We start from the raw sequence: 16,183 nt of genomic DNA, 5'->3' as shown, positions 1-16,183 counted from the left end.
AGACACTGCCTCAGGGTGGAAGCTTGGAGGAGGTCGCGGGAGGGCACCAGGACTCCTTCCCTGGGGGAGGTGCACAGCCCAGAAATGCATCTCAGACAGTGAGAACACACCTTCAAGATGTGCACTCCACATCGTTCTTTATTTACCCTCTCGGTTATATAAACATCTTCCAGAAATCCTCTTACAAATTATAGTGACCTCAGACAGGCCTGCTGCTCTCTTCTAACAGGAGGGGACGAGGAGAGCTGGTTGCCGTTTTCTGAACCTCTGTGTTTAATGTGTGTGTGTGTGTGTATGCGTGTGTGGGTGTGCACATGAGTGTGTATGTTTGTACAGGTGCGTGTGCGCACATGTGATGTGGGTGTGGGTGTGTGCACATGAGTGTGCATGTGTATACAGGTGGGTGTGCATGTGACGTGTGTGTGCATGTGATGCATGTGTTAGTTTACGAGTGCACGTGTGTGTGTGTGTATGTGTGTGTGTGTGTGTGTTGGAGGGAGACACCTGGTGTTTTGGAGGGATCCCTGGACCTGCAGTCACGAAGTGTAGACTGTGGCTGGCAACATAGTTCTCTGCTCCTCTGCTCCTGGGTTTTGGTCTCTTAGGTGGAAATCAAGGGGTCTGGACTAAACAAGCCTTCGGTTCTTTCCAGCTCGATGGCCTGTGCATGCAGTGTTCAACAGCTTTCTCAGCTCCAAGTTAAATAACCCGTCCCTGTAACCTTTCCCTGTAAAACGCATTTTCCAATCCTTTAATCATCTTGGTTACTTTCCTGTGAACTCCCTCCAAGAGACCTGTGTCATTGAATAAGTATGTCATATAAATTAGTCAGTAAATCAATCTGTCAACAATATCTCTTGAGCAACCACTCTGTGGCTTGCTGGAGGTGCTGGGCTGATACAACCCAGCCACACAGGGACAGAAAGAGTTTTCACCCTGCCTCAGACCCGGAGTTGATTTGTCTAACAGTGGCCTGAGGCACTGGGCACCCACTGGGATGTCATCGATCCCCAAAGACCGAGCCTTCCTCCAACATTAATGTCTGAAAATACTTTAGGTAACATTAGCTAGGCACCTGCTCTGTTCAGAGCTCCACTAGGCACTGTGATAGTTACAAAAGTGAGCATGATGACCTCCAGGAAGGGCAGGTACGCACAGAGGACGGGAGGAGATAGGGAATCAGGGGGGACGTGGGCTCAGAGTGGAGAGCCGGCCAGCCTCAGGCTGCAGATGGAATCTTGGTGTTCAGATGTGGGCTACTTTGAAAGGTTTTTTTTTTTCTTCAATACAGAAGGATCAATTGTAAAATGAAGTAGCCAAAAGCATTGAATTTGGAGGAAACAAGACTTTCGTTCAAAGAGTGATTTCACCACTCACTAGCTACGTGAACCTTGGGCGAGTCATTGAAGCTTTCCAAGCCCCAGATTCTTTAAGATACTGCGGGGCTGGTTATACCCAGCAGGAAGGAATATTAGAGTTAGATGACATCGCATTCGTCAAGTGTCTGGTGCATAGCAGGAGATCTACATGTATAATCTGCTTTCTCTCCACCACTCATGATGGATCAGTTTCTGAGGAGGCCCCCAACCCTTCTGGATGGATATCTATATTGTCAGCCTTACTGTTAGCTGGGGCCCTAAGTTCTATGAGTCCACTCTGTGACGTGTATCATATTACAGTCCCTGCTTCTTGATCCTAAAATCATTTCCTTCAACCCTGAAGGGCAGTCTTTTATTTATAGTGGAGTCATGCGTGGCTTCATGATGGGAATGCATTTTGAGAAGTGTGTTGTTAGACAGCTGTGTCATCATGCGATCATAGAGTATACTTGCACGAAACTAGATGGTGTTGTCTACTACACACTCAGGTCTTATACTGTAGCCTATTGCTCCAAGGTTACAAACCTGTACAGCATGGTACTATACTGAGTACTATAGGCAATTGCAGCACAATGTGAAATATCTGTGTTTCTAAACATGGAAAAGAAACAGTACAGATACAGTATAAAAGATTTTTTTAAATGGCACACCTGTATATGCAGCGCCATGATCATCTCATGGGGCACTGTCATTGATGAGGTCTGTCATTGACAGAAATGCCATTGTGTGCTGCGTGACTGTGTACTGTATGCTTTGGGATTTTACAGTCATGGAGCAACAGCTCTGAGCATAACTTTTTTTTTTTTTTTTTTTTTTAAGACGGAGTCTCGCTCTGTTGCCAGGCTGGAGTGCAGAGGCGTGATCTCGGCTCACTGCAGCCTCCGCCTCCTGAGTTCAAGGGATTCTCCTGCCTCAGCCTCCTGAGTTCAAGGGATTCTCCTGCCTCAGCCTCCTGTAGCTGGGACTACAGGCACGTGACACCACACCCAGCTAATTTTTGTATTTTTAGTAGAGATGGGGTTTCACCGTGTTGGCCAGGATGGTCTCAATCTCTTGAACCCGTGATCTGCCCACCTCAGCCTCCCAAAGTGCTGGGATTACAGACGTTAGCCACTGCGCCCGGCCCGAGCATAGCTTTTATTTCTATTTTTTAGTTTAGCATCAATTTGCTGTACTAGAAAGAGCACTTGGTCCTTGACCAAGGCCCCAGATTCACCTGGCAAGGTCATTTCAGACAAATCAGAGAGAGAGCGCTGCAGCACTCCTCAAATGTGTGAGCACAATCACCTGGAGGTTTTGGTAAAACACAGATTGCTGGGCTCCACCCCCAGGTAATTTGCATTTGTAAGACGTTCCCAGGCCAGGCTCAGACTGCAGGCCCAAGACCTACACTGTGAGAACCTCTGGTATGGGAAGAACAGCCTTGGAGTTTAGTGGAGCTTGGCAGAGTCAGTTGCCCCTTCTGAGCCTGCTTCCTGATTTATCAACCTTTACCTTACAGACTAGATCTCAAGGTAATAATCAGACAAATTATCCCAGAGCACTTTGCAAACCATAAAACACTACAGCTATTAGCAGCTTAGTGTTCCCTTTTAGCTTTCACTTGCTCACTTATCAAACGGGGATAATAATGGCAATTTTAACAAAGATTAAGTAAGATGTTCTACATAAAAACACTTTGCGAAGTGTAAAGAACTACAGAGTCAGCTGAGTGTGGTGGCTCATGCCTGTAATCCCAGCACTTTGGGAGGCCGAGGCAGGTGGATCACCTGAGGTCAGGAGTTCGAGAATAGCCTGGCCAACATGGCAAAACCATGTCTCCACTAAAAATACAAAAAAAAAATTAGCCAGTTGCGGTGGCACACACCTGTAGTTGCAGCTACTCGGGAGGCTGAGGCAGAAGAAGAATCACTTGAACCCTGGGTGGCAGAGGTTAGCAGTGAGCTGAGATCGCACCACTGCACTCCAGCCTGGACGACAGAGCGAGACTCCCTCTCAATTAAAAAAAAAAAAAAAAAGAACTACGGAGTCTTGCTCTTATGACTTCCCTGAGCCTCAGTTTCTGCATCCCGAATGTGACAGGATGGCCAGTGTACCAGCCTTGGTCACGTGACAGCTCATTATCATAGATGTGGATAACGCAAGTTTGCATTTAACACCCTGGCTGATGCCGCTCTGTGTCTTGTTGGCCCCTTTGGTCGAAGCTGTATTTTGGGAGACTATTAGCAGCTAGGATGCTTCTGCCTATGGGAAACAAAATTCCCAGCTAAAAGTGGCTTGAAGAATGTGGGGTTTGTTTTCCTGTCTAGTAAGAAGTCCAGAGGCAGGGAAATTTGGGGTTGATTAACTCACTGGCTTCATGAGTAGAGACTCTGGGATTCTCTTGGCTTTCTCCTCATGATCACGTGGTGGTTGCAGCAGCACCCAGCTTTCCATACACACGTGACAATCCCCAGAAGCAAGAAGAGATGAGTCTCAAATTCGTGTTTCTCTTGGATGAAAACACTTTCTCAGAATCCTCTCATTGGCCAGGGTTGGATCACGTGCCCTACAACCAGGGAAATGGAACTGCATAATTGACTTAGGCCAGCTCATATTCAACTCCTGTGGCTGGGAGAGGCCCAGCAACTGCAGGCCGCCCAAACAGACCTGTGACAGCAAGCAAGAGGTGGGGCAGGGGCGGCTGAAGGGGAGGCAGCCAACAGTATCGGCCGCATCCACTATCTCTTTCCAGGAAGACTCATGGGCTTCAGGGAATTGCTTGCACATCTGTAATCCCGTGTGTTGTCCTGGAGCCGGAAGCACAGCCAGAAAGGGGCCCCAGCAGAATTTCCAGCTAATTCTTTTGTGTTTTTAGTAGAGATGGGGTTTCACCATGTTGTCCAGGCTGGTCTCGTACTCCTGCTCTCAAGTGATCCAGCTGCCTTGGCCTCCCAAAGTGCTGGAATTACAGGCATGAGCCACCGCACCTGGCCAGAAGCTTCTTAAATAGGTATTTGTGAGCCTTCCCAAGAGAACACTGAGCTCTCTGGGAGCCAGGGACAGCAACCCACCATCGAGCAGCCTCCTGTCCTGGCTGGGGCAGGCTGTGGTCTACTGGGTCAGAGTGAGACCACAGCGGGTGGGACTCAGCTAGCCATGGGTATTTCTCAGGCAAAGCCCTTGATCCTGAGGATTCACAAATGAAGGTTGAAGGCTTGCTATCGTGTGCTGTGTTTCCTCCTAAATTGAACATAGTCCTAGTCCCTAGAGTAGGCTCCCGACACATGCCTGAGTGCCTAAGAAACTGTAATGGCCATGAGTACAAGAGTTTGGTCAGCAAGTGGATGAGGAGAATGAAGAAGGACTTGAGAGTAGAATCGGTTTTGCTGGAAGAAAGTTGTGTCTGTGGGTTGTTTGAATCTCACGCTTCCTCCTCTGTGAAAGCTTTGCGAATCCACTGGAGTGGTGAATCCGGGAATTTTCTAAGGAAGGGAAAACCCCTACAAGGCTTTTATTCCACAGAGAAGTCTCCCATCTGGGCTCAGGCATGGCGCTGCAGCTCCGCATGAAAGTAGGGCTGGGAGGCGAGGGCCTACACCCTCACTGCCCTGGCCCCTCCTGCCTGGGCAGTGGATGTCCCTGGCCCTGAAGCGTCCTCGCAGCTCCTGTGAAGCATCATGGGAAAGCCGTGAGGATGAGACCATCAGGGCTTCTCTAGCCATGGTATGTGCAGGATAGAGGAAGATAAATGCTGGGAACGGGGAACATTATGTCTGATTCCCCTGGGTGTGTGGTGTCTGTCAATCCAAGAGATTTCCCAGCCAAAGCGATTACTGTAAGTTCTCTGTCAGGGTCTTAAGCCCACATAAAAGTCAGAGAATGGCAAGGCCAACTGGATCTCATTGCCTTTCGGTTGGAAGCTCCCATTTTACTGGCAAAGACGTGGGGGTGACTTCGAAGGAGACAGGGAACCTAGGGCCTTGGATAGCACATTCCCAGACCTGCCCCATTGTTCCTCGTGATGTTTATTTTAAAAGCTTGGAAACGCATAACAGATCCGTGCTGGAACACACACTGCAACTACTGGGTTTCAGAGCTGTGGGTCTCAAGCCTACTTGTGTGTCAGACTTGCCTAGGACACTTTATAAACAGAGCAGCTCTAGGGGGACGCTGGGAATCTAAACTGAAAAACAATAGCAGCCATTAGAATAGGTACTATTAAAAAAACAAACAAACAAACAAAAAAACCCAGAAAATTGGCCAGGTGCGGTGGCTCACACCTGTAATCCCAGTACTTTGGGGGGCCGAGGCAGGTGGATGACCTGAGGTCAGGAGTTCGAGACCAGCCTGGCCTATGTAGTGAAATCCCATCTTTACTAAAAATATAAAAAATAGCCAGGCATGGTGGCACATGCCTATAGTCCCAGCTACTCAGGAGGCCAAGGCAGGAGAATCGCTTGAACCCAAGAGGTGGAGGTTGCAGTGAGCCGAGATGGCGCCACTGCACTCCAGCCTGGACAACGGAGTGAGACTCTGTCTAAAAAAAAAAAAGAAAAGAGAGAGAGAGAGAAACCAGAAAATAACAACAAATGCTAGTGAGGATGTGGAGAATCTGGATTCCTTGTGCACCATGGTGGGAATATAAAATGGTGCAGCCGCTGTGGACAGCAGAATGGAGTTTCCTCCAAGAAATTAAATGTACAATTGTCATAGGATCCAGCAATTCCTCTTCTAGGTATATGCCCAGAAGAATTGAAAACAGGGTCTTGAAAAGCTGTTTGTACATCTTGTTCATGGCAGCATTATTCACAATAGCCAAAAGGTAGAAATAATCCATGGATTCATCAATAAGTGAATGGATAAACACAAACACTGGCATATACATGAGGTGGAATATTATTCAGCCCTAAAAAGGAGGGAAATGCTGACTCATGCTGCAACACGTTGAAATGTTGGAGACATGATGCTAAGTGAAATAAGCCAGTCACGAAAGGACAAATACTGCACGATTCTGCTTCTGTAAAGTTCCTAGAGGTGTCAGATTTATAGAGACGGAAAGCAAAATGGTGGCTGTCAGGGGCTGGGGAGAGGAGAAATGAGGATGGAGTGTGCAAAGGGTCCAGGGCTTCAACCCAGGATGATAGAGTTTTGGAGACAGATGGGGGTGATGGTTGCATAACAAGAAATGTGCTTGATGCCACTGGGCTGTACACCTAAAAATGGCTGAGATGGTCAATGTTATGAGTACTTTACCACAATTAAAAAAATAAAAACACAAACAGTAGAGCGACAACCATAGCAGGCTCAGCTGTCACAGATATGTCCCCTGGGAAGGAGGTCAGAGGGCGGACATTCGTTAGGATTTGTACTTGGTTGCCTTGTAACCAGTCTCCGTTATAGGGAGGCCCTGGAGCAGGCTGGACGGGCTAGAAGCTGGGCTGCCGTGGCGCCTCAGTGGAAACGCAGCCACTTTTACAGGGAGTTCTGAAGGCGGGACAGCTCTTTCCTGCTGCCCCAGCCTGGGGCCCGGATGAGGATGCGTGGCCTTTATAGCCCCTCGTGGATCTCTGCTGGTCAGGCACTGCCTTGCCAGGGGTTCCGCCTCGGGCGAGGCTTTCTTCCACTGGAGCGACCCCCAAGGAAGCTGACAACTGAGGGGGGGAGGTTGGCATTTGAGAAAAGTGACTGCAAGTGCCTAAGAGCTGGGGACACACAATAGGCCTTTAATACCCATCTTTGTTTAATCTTCACTGTGATCTTCATAGCCTCTCCGCGGAAAGCAGTATTATCCTTGTTTTGTAAGGAGGGCGTGGAGCAGATAAGTCAGTGGCCTAAAGTCACGTAGCTAGTAGGTGGTTGAGCTGGTTTACAGCTGTCCTCGGTGCTTGTGTGCCACCCGTGGGTGTGGGCAGGAGAGGCCCTTCCTAGGCCCTGGACTTTAGAGGGGCTGGCTCGGTCCCCTCCGTCCACACCACTTCCTAGGGGACAGGGAGTCCAGAGGGCCAAGCGGAAGTGTTATCCTCTGCTCTGTCTGGAGCCCACACTGGGGACCTGGAATTCCCTGGGTGTTTCTAGGGCCTGCGTCACCTTTTCTCTGGCTCCATCCTCTCGTGGGCTCCAATAACGGGCAAAATCCTAAAGACCCATTAGCATTTAGGATGCCTAAACGGCTCCTAAATGAAAGGCGAGGTCTTAGGAGAGCATACAAGGCTCCCAGCGATTCAGAAAACCAGCCCTGGTGTCTGCTTCTGGGTTGAAACTCCAGCTCCCTCCCTAGAGCTGCATGACTCTAGGTAGTTTAAACCTCTGAGCCTCCACGTCCTCCACCATAAAATGGAGATAGAATAGCGTCTTCTTCAGGAGTGTGTGGTGACAAAGTTGGCATGGGGATGCCAGGTCCTCGGCACAGCAGGCTCTCTCGGCAGCCCCGTGGGGGATGCCCTCCTGCAGGTCCTGCAGCACCTTCTGCCCTTCCCAGTGCAGCCTGGTTCTTGCCTGTCCCCCCAGCTTAGACTCTAAGTTTGGAAGTGCAGGGACGGCTTCTATCTTGTTCTCTTGGTGACCAGCGGGAGGCTCAGTCTGCCCGTCCTGAGGGAAGGAATGGAGAGGGCAGGGCTGCCTGCAGGGGGTTGAAGGGATGAGGCTTTCTCTGTAGGGCCCAGACAAGAGGGAAGAGGAGAAAGGCCAGGTGCAGCAAGTGCTCCCAGCCGCCAGGGCCATGCTTGTCATGCCATGTGGAGCCTGGTGCAGGGTTCAGAGGTCCCTGGTGGCCAATAGGTGAGCGTGTCCTTCTGCCTGGTCTAATTGACTCTGGGGGGCTGGACTCGCTTGCACTGGTGCCATCACTCGCAGGTGTCCGTTTGCTTGGTTGAGGACCTGAAGGCCCAGGGAAGCCCAATGCTCGCAGCCTCGCGACTCCTTCCCTTCCCAGAGGGCTTTGCTCCTGGCAGGACGTGCCCATGGCAGTGATTCCGCAGCCTGGCTGTGCTTCCGAGTTACCTGGGGTTCTTGCTAACAGACTTCCCATCCTCCCTCCGAGGGCTGGACTCTGCTGTACAAAGTGATATTGGACATCTGTGATGTGGACCAAAGCCCCTGGTGAGTAGGATCTATTTGGTGTTGAAGACTGACGTCTGGACACCACTAATTTAGAAGGGAGTCATTAAAATTAATTTAAATTTTTACCTTTTCCTTATGTGTCCCTCATTCTTTCCAAAATTTGAAGCATTATAGATATTTTTGTTTGTTCATTTGTTTGTTTTTGTTACAGGGTCTCACTCTGTAGCCCAGTCTGGAGTGCAGTGGGGCGATCATAGCTCACTGAAGCCTCAATCTTCTGGGTTCAGGCGATCCTCCTGCCTCAGCCTCCCCAGTAGCTGGGACTACAGGTGTGCACCACCACGCCCAGCTAATGTTTTTATTTTTTGTAGAGATGGGATCTGGCTATGTTGCTTGAACTTGTCTCGAACTCCTGGCCTTAAGTGACCCTCCTGCCTTAGCCCCCCAAAGTTCTGAAATTACAGGCATGAGCCACCATGCCCAATCCTACATTACAGAAACTTAAGAGGTCATTGAGTGGGGTCACTGAAGTTGTGTCAAACAATGTTAAAATAAATGGTCATTAGTGCTAAAAATCAGTCAAACTGGTTGTTACTGTTGTATAAAGTAAATCACGTGACTGAATTTTTCACCGTTATTGGTAATAACAGCCCCTGTACTTGTGCAGAGTTGTAAAATGTGGTTCTCATCCCTGGCTGTACATTAGAGCCCCATAGGAAGCACCAGAAATATATTATAAAGGAGTTAAATAGGCCTCTCTGCAGGGCGAGCCCTGGCTGCGTTCCTGGGGTGGCTGGTGTGAGAGCTGTGGGTGTGGCTTCAGGGCTCCTCCTGGTGCCAGCTTCACAGCATCGTCAGGGAAAGCCTGTGAGAGGGGCAGGGTTTTTGTTCTGGTTTTGTTGATGGAAAAGGACTAAAGAGCTGAGGTCCAGGGAGGTGAATGAATTAGCCAAAACTAGAGAGGGGAAGGACTGGTTCCTGGGTCTCTGTCCAGCGTCACCTTGTGATGGCATCAATTCTCAGCCATCACAATTCTCTGCACAGCTAAGGGCTGGGGGACTTACACCCATGTGGCCTGGTGTGACCCTTCAACAGTCAGGGCCAGGCATGGATAGACCAGCCCAGCCCAGAAGGTCAGCTGGGGCTGCTGTGTCCTGGAAGCCTTCCTGTAGGGTCACAGAATTTCAGCATGGGCAGATTCTCTAGAGACTGCCTTGTCTAGCCTCCCCATTTTTTTTTTTTTTTGAGAAGAAGGTCTGGAGGTGTGATGTGACATCCCTGAGTCCTTACTGCCTAGTGAGACCAGCATGCTGGTCACTCGGCCCCAGTACTGAGTGAGTAACCCTGTGATATCAGTTGCCCTGTCCCCGAACGGAGCTTGGGGCCCAGTTGCTTAAGATGGCAGGGGGCAGAGCTCAAGCTTTCAAAAGAGGTAGAATTGAGCCAGATGCTCTTGGAACCCAACATAGCCTTCTTCACCTCCCAAACCACTCCCGGGCAATACAATCCCTTGTTGACAGGTGCGGGAAGGTTCTACTTCCCCCTTGAGCACCTCCCAACTTCCTTCCACCAACCTGGCCATGTCTACCTGCTTGATAGAGACCACAGCCAATTTTGTTGCCCTGGTCTTGCAGATCAGTTTCTGGTAACACTCTGGTTGCTTCCATTCCCTGAATTTCCATGGCACTATCGACATGTTCCTGGAACTGGATGCTCTGCCCCGCACCACCACCTGCCCAGGTGAGAGGTAGCCAGCGAGGCCCCAGGCAAGGCTGCAGTGTTTTTCCAGCACCCACATTAGGTTTTTGGCAGCACCAGGATCTTCTCTTTCCTGGTGCATGGATTGGCTTTCATCTCCCAGGCAGGAAAGACCACATTCCAGCTTTTCCCAGACTCTTTGCTACTTGGCAAAAGAGCCAGGTGGAAAGACAGCTATTTTTTTTTCTTTTCCAGTACATTACCTTAAATGCTTTTCTCTCCTTTCTGAGAAGCTGAGAGTGTATCTCTTATCTCTGATCCCTGAATCTTGAGGTAATTTATGGCAGATTGGCCATGCCATGGCAGATGTTGTATTAGGAGAGGTCCCAGAAGGGGAAGAACTAACACTGAGACCGACTGTGTACCAGGTACGTCTCAGCCTGCAGTCAGAATCAGAGAGACACCATTCTGATACTAAAACAATTTTTTTTTCTAGGCAAGGTCTCACTCTGTCACCCAGGCTGTAGTGCAGTAGTGTGATCATGGCTCACCACAGCCTCCACCTCCCAGGCTCAAACCTTCCTCCCACCTCAGCCTCCTGAGTAGCTGGGACTACAGGTACATGCCACCACACCCACCTAACTTTTGTGTTTTTTTTGTAGAGACAGCGTCTTGCCATGCTTTCCCAGGCTGGTCTTGAACTCCTGGGATCAAGCAATCCTCCTGCCTTGGCCTCCCAAAGTGCTGGGATTACAGGTGTGAGTCAGCATGCCCTGCCTGAAAAAATTTTTTAACCCAAATCTTTACTGAAACCTTCCTAAGAGGCCTCAAGGAGATAATTCCATAGGAAAACATCCACAGCTATTCTTCACCTGTCTTCTGTCTCCAAAATTTTTCAAAACACTTAAAATCATCTTATGATCTTAGCTGGTACTATGCATTGTTCTCTCCTCTCTTCCTTCTCTTTCAACTTCCTAATCATTATTATTTTTTAAGTTTCTCCAGAGCTTTCTAATGTGAAAAAATCCACACATTCTCTGCTCTTTTGATTGTGCAGACTTACTTATTACCCTTAACCACAACCAAAACCCAGGCCAACAAATTTCCTTTGCTCTGTAAGGAGTGGGACTGGGCATGGGGAAATGAAGCAGAGAGCAATGTGGTGAATTATATGGTATACTAATTAGGATTAGATTTGATTGTATTTAATGGAAAATCAAATATGAGTGGCTTAAACAAGAAATTCAGAGGCAGTCCAGGGCTGCTATGATGTCTCTGTGATCATTGGCATCTGAGTGCCTTTTGTCTTTTGTGTTTAGTACTAGGTTTCACTATGGTAACAAAATGGCATCTGTAGCCCCAACCATCGCATACGCGTTCCAGGCATCTGGAAGAAGCAAGGAGCAAGGGGGGAAGGGTTTTAGCAACCTTTCAAGAGGTTTCCTAGAAGCTCTTCAAAATGACGTCCGGTTAATAATTATTGGCCGTCCTCATCTGGAAAGGAATTTGGGACAGTAGTTTTATTAACTGCATCTATTGCAGTCCCCCAAAATAGGAACTCAGTGAGTAAGAAAAAAAGAAGAGTAGATATGAACAGTCTTTACCATACATCCCTGTCACTCTTTGGACTTTTTAAAAACCTCTTTGAAAAAAACTAAACCTTTCATTTTGAGATAATTAATTATAGATTTATACGCAGGTGTAGGAAATAATACAGAGGGATCACCTGTATAGTCTTCACCCAGTTTCCCCCAGTGGTAACGTCTTGTAAAACTATAGTACAATATCACCACCAAGACATTGACCATTGATCCGGTCAAGAGACAGGGCACGTCCATCATCACAGGGGTGCCTCCTGCTGCCTCTTATAGCCACATCCACTTCCCTCCCAGCTTCATTCCTCCTCAACCCTGGCAAATGTTAATCTATTCTCCATTTCTATAATGTTGTCATTTTCAGAATATTTGGGTTCAATTTTTTGTGTGTACCAATAGTTCATTCCTTTTCAATGCTGAATGGTAGCATTCCATGATATGAATGTACCAGTTTGCTTAAGTCTTCATTCTTTGAAGGACATCTGAGTATTTCCAGTGTTTGGCATAAAAGCTGCTATGAATACTTTTTTACAAGTTTTTGTGTGAACTTAAGTTTTCATTTCTCTGGATAAATGTCCAAGATTGCAAGTGCTCAATCACATGGTCCATTTTACATTACGATAACATTGAAAATATGCAAAAAGGTTAAAAGCTCTTTCTTTAACCTATAGGTGCCATCATCTAAAAATAGCACTGTAAAAATTCTGGTGTGTTTTCTCCTCACATCTTTTTAAAATGTGTATTTCGTTTTTGTTCTCATGTTTGTGTGTGCATTTGTGTGGATAGGCAAGGTTATGCTGCTGTGACAAATGATTCCCAAATCTCAGTGGCTTAGTCCAACACATTTATTTCTCATTGATACAAGGTCACTGTCAGTCCAGAGAACCCCCAGGGGTCGCTGTCTTGTAGATGGTGACTCCAGGATCCAAGCTGCTCTAGGATTTGGGCTCTCCTATTCTGACTGCAGCAACATGGTAGTGACACACATGTCATGTCTGTTCACATTTCATTGGCTAGTACTTCTCATATGGCTCCATCTAACTGCGAGGGACAAGAAAACATGCAAAGAACATGGAAGAACATGGCCCATGATGGGATGAGCTGTGGCACTGCATCTGCCATGTAATGTATGAAAAACGTATTTTATTTTATGAGTTAATGTTATTTAGTCAGTTGTGGTGACATATGCCTGTAGTCCCAGCTACTTGGGAGGCTGAGGCGAGAGGATTGCTTGAACTTAAGAGTTTGCAACCTGCCTGTGCAACACGGAAAAACCTCCTCTCTACAAAAAATACAAAAATTAGCCAGGCATGGTGGCGTGCACCTATAGTCCCAGTTATTCAGCAGGCTGAGGTGAGAGGATCGCTTCAGCCTGGGAGGTCAAGGCTGCAGTGAGCTGTGTTTACGCCATTGTACTCCAGCTTGGGCGACAGACCCTGTTTCAAAGACCCTGTCTCAAAAAAATATATAGCACAATCTTGGAATATTATAGCACAAAATATTACAATACAATCTCTTTCCTACACCTTATAGATGATGATAATAATAATAAAATATTAATAATAATAATTATTATTATTATTTTGAGATGGAGTCTCACTCTGTCACCTAGGCTGGAGTGCAGTGGCGTGATCTTGGCTCACAGCAATCTCCACCTGCTGGGTTCAAGTGATTCTCCTGCTTCAGCCTCCTGAGCAACTGAGATTACAGGCACCCACCACCATGCCCGGCTAATTTTTGTATTTTTAGTAGAGACCACCGTGTTGGCCAGGCTTGTCTTAAACTCTTGGCCTCAAGTGATCTGCCTTCCTCAGCCTCCCAGAGGGCTGGGATTACAGGAATGAGCCATCACGCCTAGCCACAAAGTATTAAAAAACAAAATTAGAATGATTTTCAGCATATAAAATAATCTTGATCTTTTCTTTGAAAAATTCTGTTACCTGCCTGGGAAATTCACTTATGTAAAATGGTTCATTCTCCAACTAAGTGAGGTAGACGAGGCCTGACTGTCAGAAGAGCATCATTGCTAAGACAAAGGAACAAACGAAGCCATTTGGATCATGCAGATTTACCCCTTGGGCCAGTGTAAGGCCATTATCAATCTCACCCTTAAGTCCTCCAGCCTGTTTTCATATTTTCTTTCCCATGATGGGTGTTATCCTGAGATAGCTTTATGTTTTAGTTTTGTTTTTAAAACAAAGTAGAACTAAAAGGCAAACAAACAAAACCCCTGACCATTTAGAACCCTGTAAATACAATAAATAGATTGCATATATCGTATTAAAATGTATTTAATAAATAAATACACCCCATGTAACATTCTACCAACACCATCCCCTGAAAAAAGGGAAATAATGGAGGAACTTTGTCCTTTCTTCTGGAAATACTTTTCATTTCATTTTTGTTGAGTTAAACGGCATTCATCTTTCAAATTTGTCGTGTGGGGATTCCTTGAAATAAAGGTAGTCTATGTACGGTTCGGTCAAACTTTCCCGGAGGTCATGAAACAGAAAGGCTTGCAATAAGATTCTCCAATAATGTGGTTTATTCAACAAATTTAAACTGGCCAGTCACAGTGGCTCACACTTGTAATCCCAGTGCTCTGGGACGCTGAGGCAAGAGGACTGCTCAGGGTCAGGTGTTGAAGACCAGCGTGGGCAACATAATGAGACCCCCATATCTACAAAAAGTTCAAAAATTAGCCGGGTATGGTGGTGCACGCCTGTAGTCCCAGCTACTTAGGAGACTGAGACATAAGGATCGCTTGAGCCCAGGAGTTTGAGGCTGCAGTGAGCTATGATTGTGTCACTGCACTCCAGCCTGAGCAAGACCCTGTCTCTAAATAAATAAATAAATTCAAACAATCAGCAAGAAGCAAAGGAAAAGAGGCAGGACAGGTTAACACACGGAGGATAGAGCCACGCGGGCAGATTCCTCGGTTGTAGGCTGCTCGTTTGTCCTGTGTCTTTCTCTCTCTGATGCATGAGCCTTTCCCACTGTTGACGGGGTTTTGAAGAGCAGAATTGAGGGCAAGCAAAGGTCTCCACAGAGGCAATGCCTGCTCTCTTTTTTTCTTTTCTTTTCTTTTTTTTTTTTGAGACAGTCTCACCCTGTCATCCAGGCTAGAGTGCAGGGTCCGATCTCGGCTCACTGCAACCCCTGCCTCCCAGGTTCAAGTGATTCCCCTGCCTCAGCCTCCCAAGTAGCTGAGATTACAGGCATGCACCACCACGCCCAGCTAATTTTTTATTTTTTAGTAGAGCCTGGGTTTCACTGTGTTGGCCAGGCTGGTCTCGAACTCATGGCCTCAAGTGATCCGCTGGCTTCAACCGCCCAAAGTGCTGGGATTACAGGTGTGAGCCACCATGCCTGGCCGTGCTTGCTTGCTCTATCAGAGAGCAGAGGCAAGAACGTGGGTCCCACTGCCCAGCTGCAGCTTCTTAATGATCCACTGGGCAGCAAATGGGTTTTATCTGTGTCCCTCCGTCTGGAGAGCCCCCTTGTTTGTCCTCAGCCCTAGTCCCAGCTACGTTAACTCTTTCTTTGCAGGAAAAATCAGCTGAGCTATACTTAACTAGAGTGTCCAGTATATATCAAGTAGATCAAGTGACTATAAATGGGGAGGTTTCTTAAATTTTTTATATATTTTATTTTTTTTTAGAGATGGGGTCTCACTGTGTTGCCCAGGCTACATTTGAACTGCCGGACTCAAGCAATCCTCCCACCTCAGCCTCCAGAGTAGCTGGGACTTCAAACAATTGAAGTAGAAATTTGTATCTAATTTCGTGGGATAAAAAATAGTCAAGGGAATTATTGCAATTCTTCCTTTGATTTTTTTTCCCCACATGAAACTGTCTCGAATTCCTCCTTGAGTCCCCAGCATTCAGGGGAAGTTTCTATTTCATGCTTCCGTTTGTACTTTTATCATCAAGGCTACCCAAACTCTTTTACTCGACCAGACCTCGGTGGGAATCACAAGTGCCTGTGGATACATGGAAATACGTTTGAATGTATGTTTCATTTGCATGGGCAAGCATATCGGTATTTTTGGGTTCACGTGTGTAATCGATGTTAAGCCCTACCTGAAACTAACAAAATACTGCATTAAGCCTGACAAAGTGTAAACAAAGCAGGTATTTCCCAGTTGTTCCCACCATGAACTGAGGGCACGCTTCCCAGGATCAGTGGCTGTGCCTCCTGAGCTGCTCTGGTCTCGCAAGCCACCAGCTTCTGGGGTGGGCACCATCGCCTATTCTTGTTGCAAAGGGGACCCAGCCCTGGGGCTGCAGGCAGGAGGGTGGGGCTGTCCCAAGAACTAGCTCCTTATCAGAAGGATACAGAGTCCTGAAAATCCCCCCACCCCTGGAGTTTGTGTTTCCTTTCAGATCTCTGAGCATCTTTTGATCTTGAAGCTGATCCATTTTTCCTCTCTCTCTTCCTACTTCCCCCGTCTCTTTCCCCTCCTGTCTC

The 16,183-nt window shown here is 47.3% G+C and overlaps 1 protein-coding gene across 1 annotated transcript in view, besides 1 other annotated feature; it reads left to right on the top strand.

Moving 5' to 3' along the window:
- RP1L1 (RP1 like 1) overlaps positions 1–16,183 on the top strand; it is a 48,795-nt gene that overhangs the window by 1,193 nt on the left and 31,419 nt on the right. The gene's annotated exons all lie outside the window — the stretch shown is intronic.
- Positions 7,578–8,434: an enhancer, noted in NCBI's record as "H3K4me1 hESC enhancer chr8:10503027-10503883 (GRCh37/hg19 assembly coordinates)". NCBI's record gives its function as "activates a minimal SCP1, AML or CMV promoter by ChIP-STARR-seq in naive H9 embryonic stem cells {active_cell/tissue: H9 hESC(naive)}" and the evidence as "EXISTENCE:reporter gene assay evidence [ECO:0000049][PMID:30033119]".

This window comes from Homo sapiens, chromosome 8 (assembly GCF_000001405.40).
Source record: "Homo sapiens chromosome 8, GRCh38.p14 Primary Assembly".
Lineage (NCBI taxonomy): Eukaryota > Metazoa > Chordata > Mammalia > Primates > Hominidae > Homo > Homo sapiens.
The sequence above is the reverse complement of the archived record's forward strand: the minus strand, read 5'-3'. Positions and strand labels throughout refer to the sequence as shown.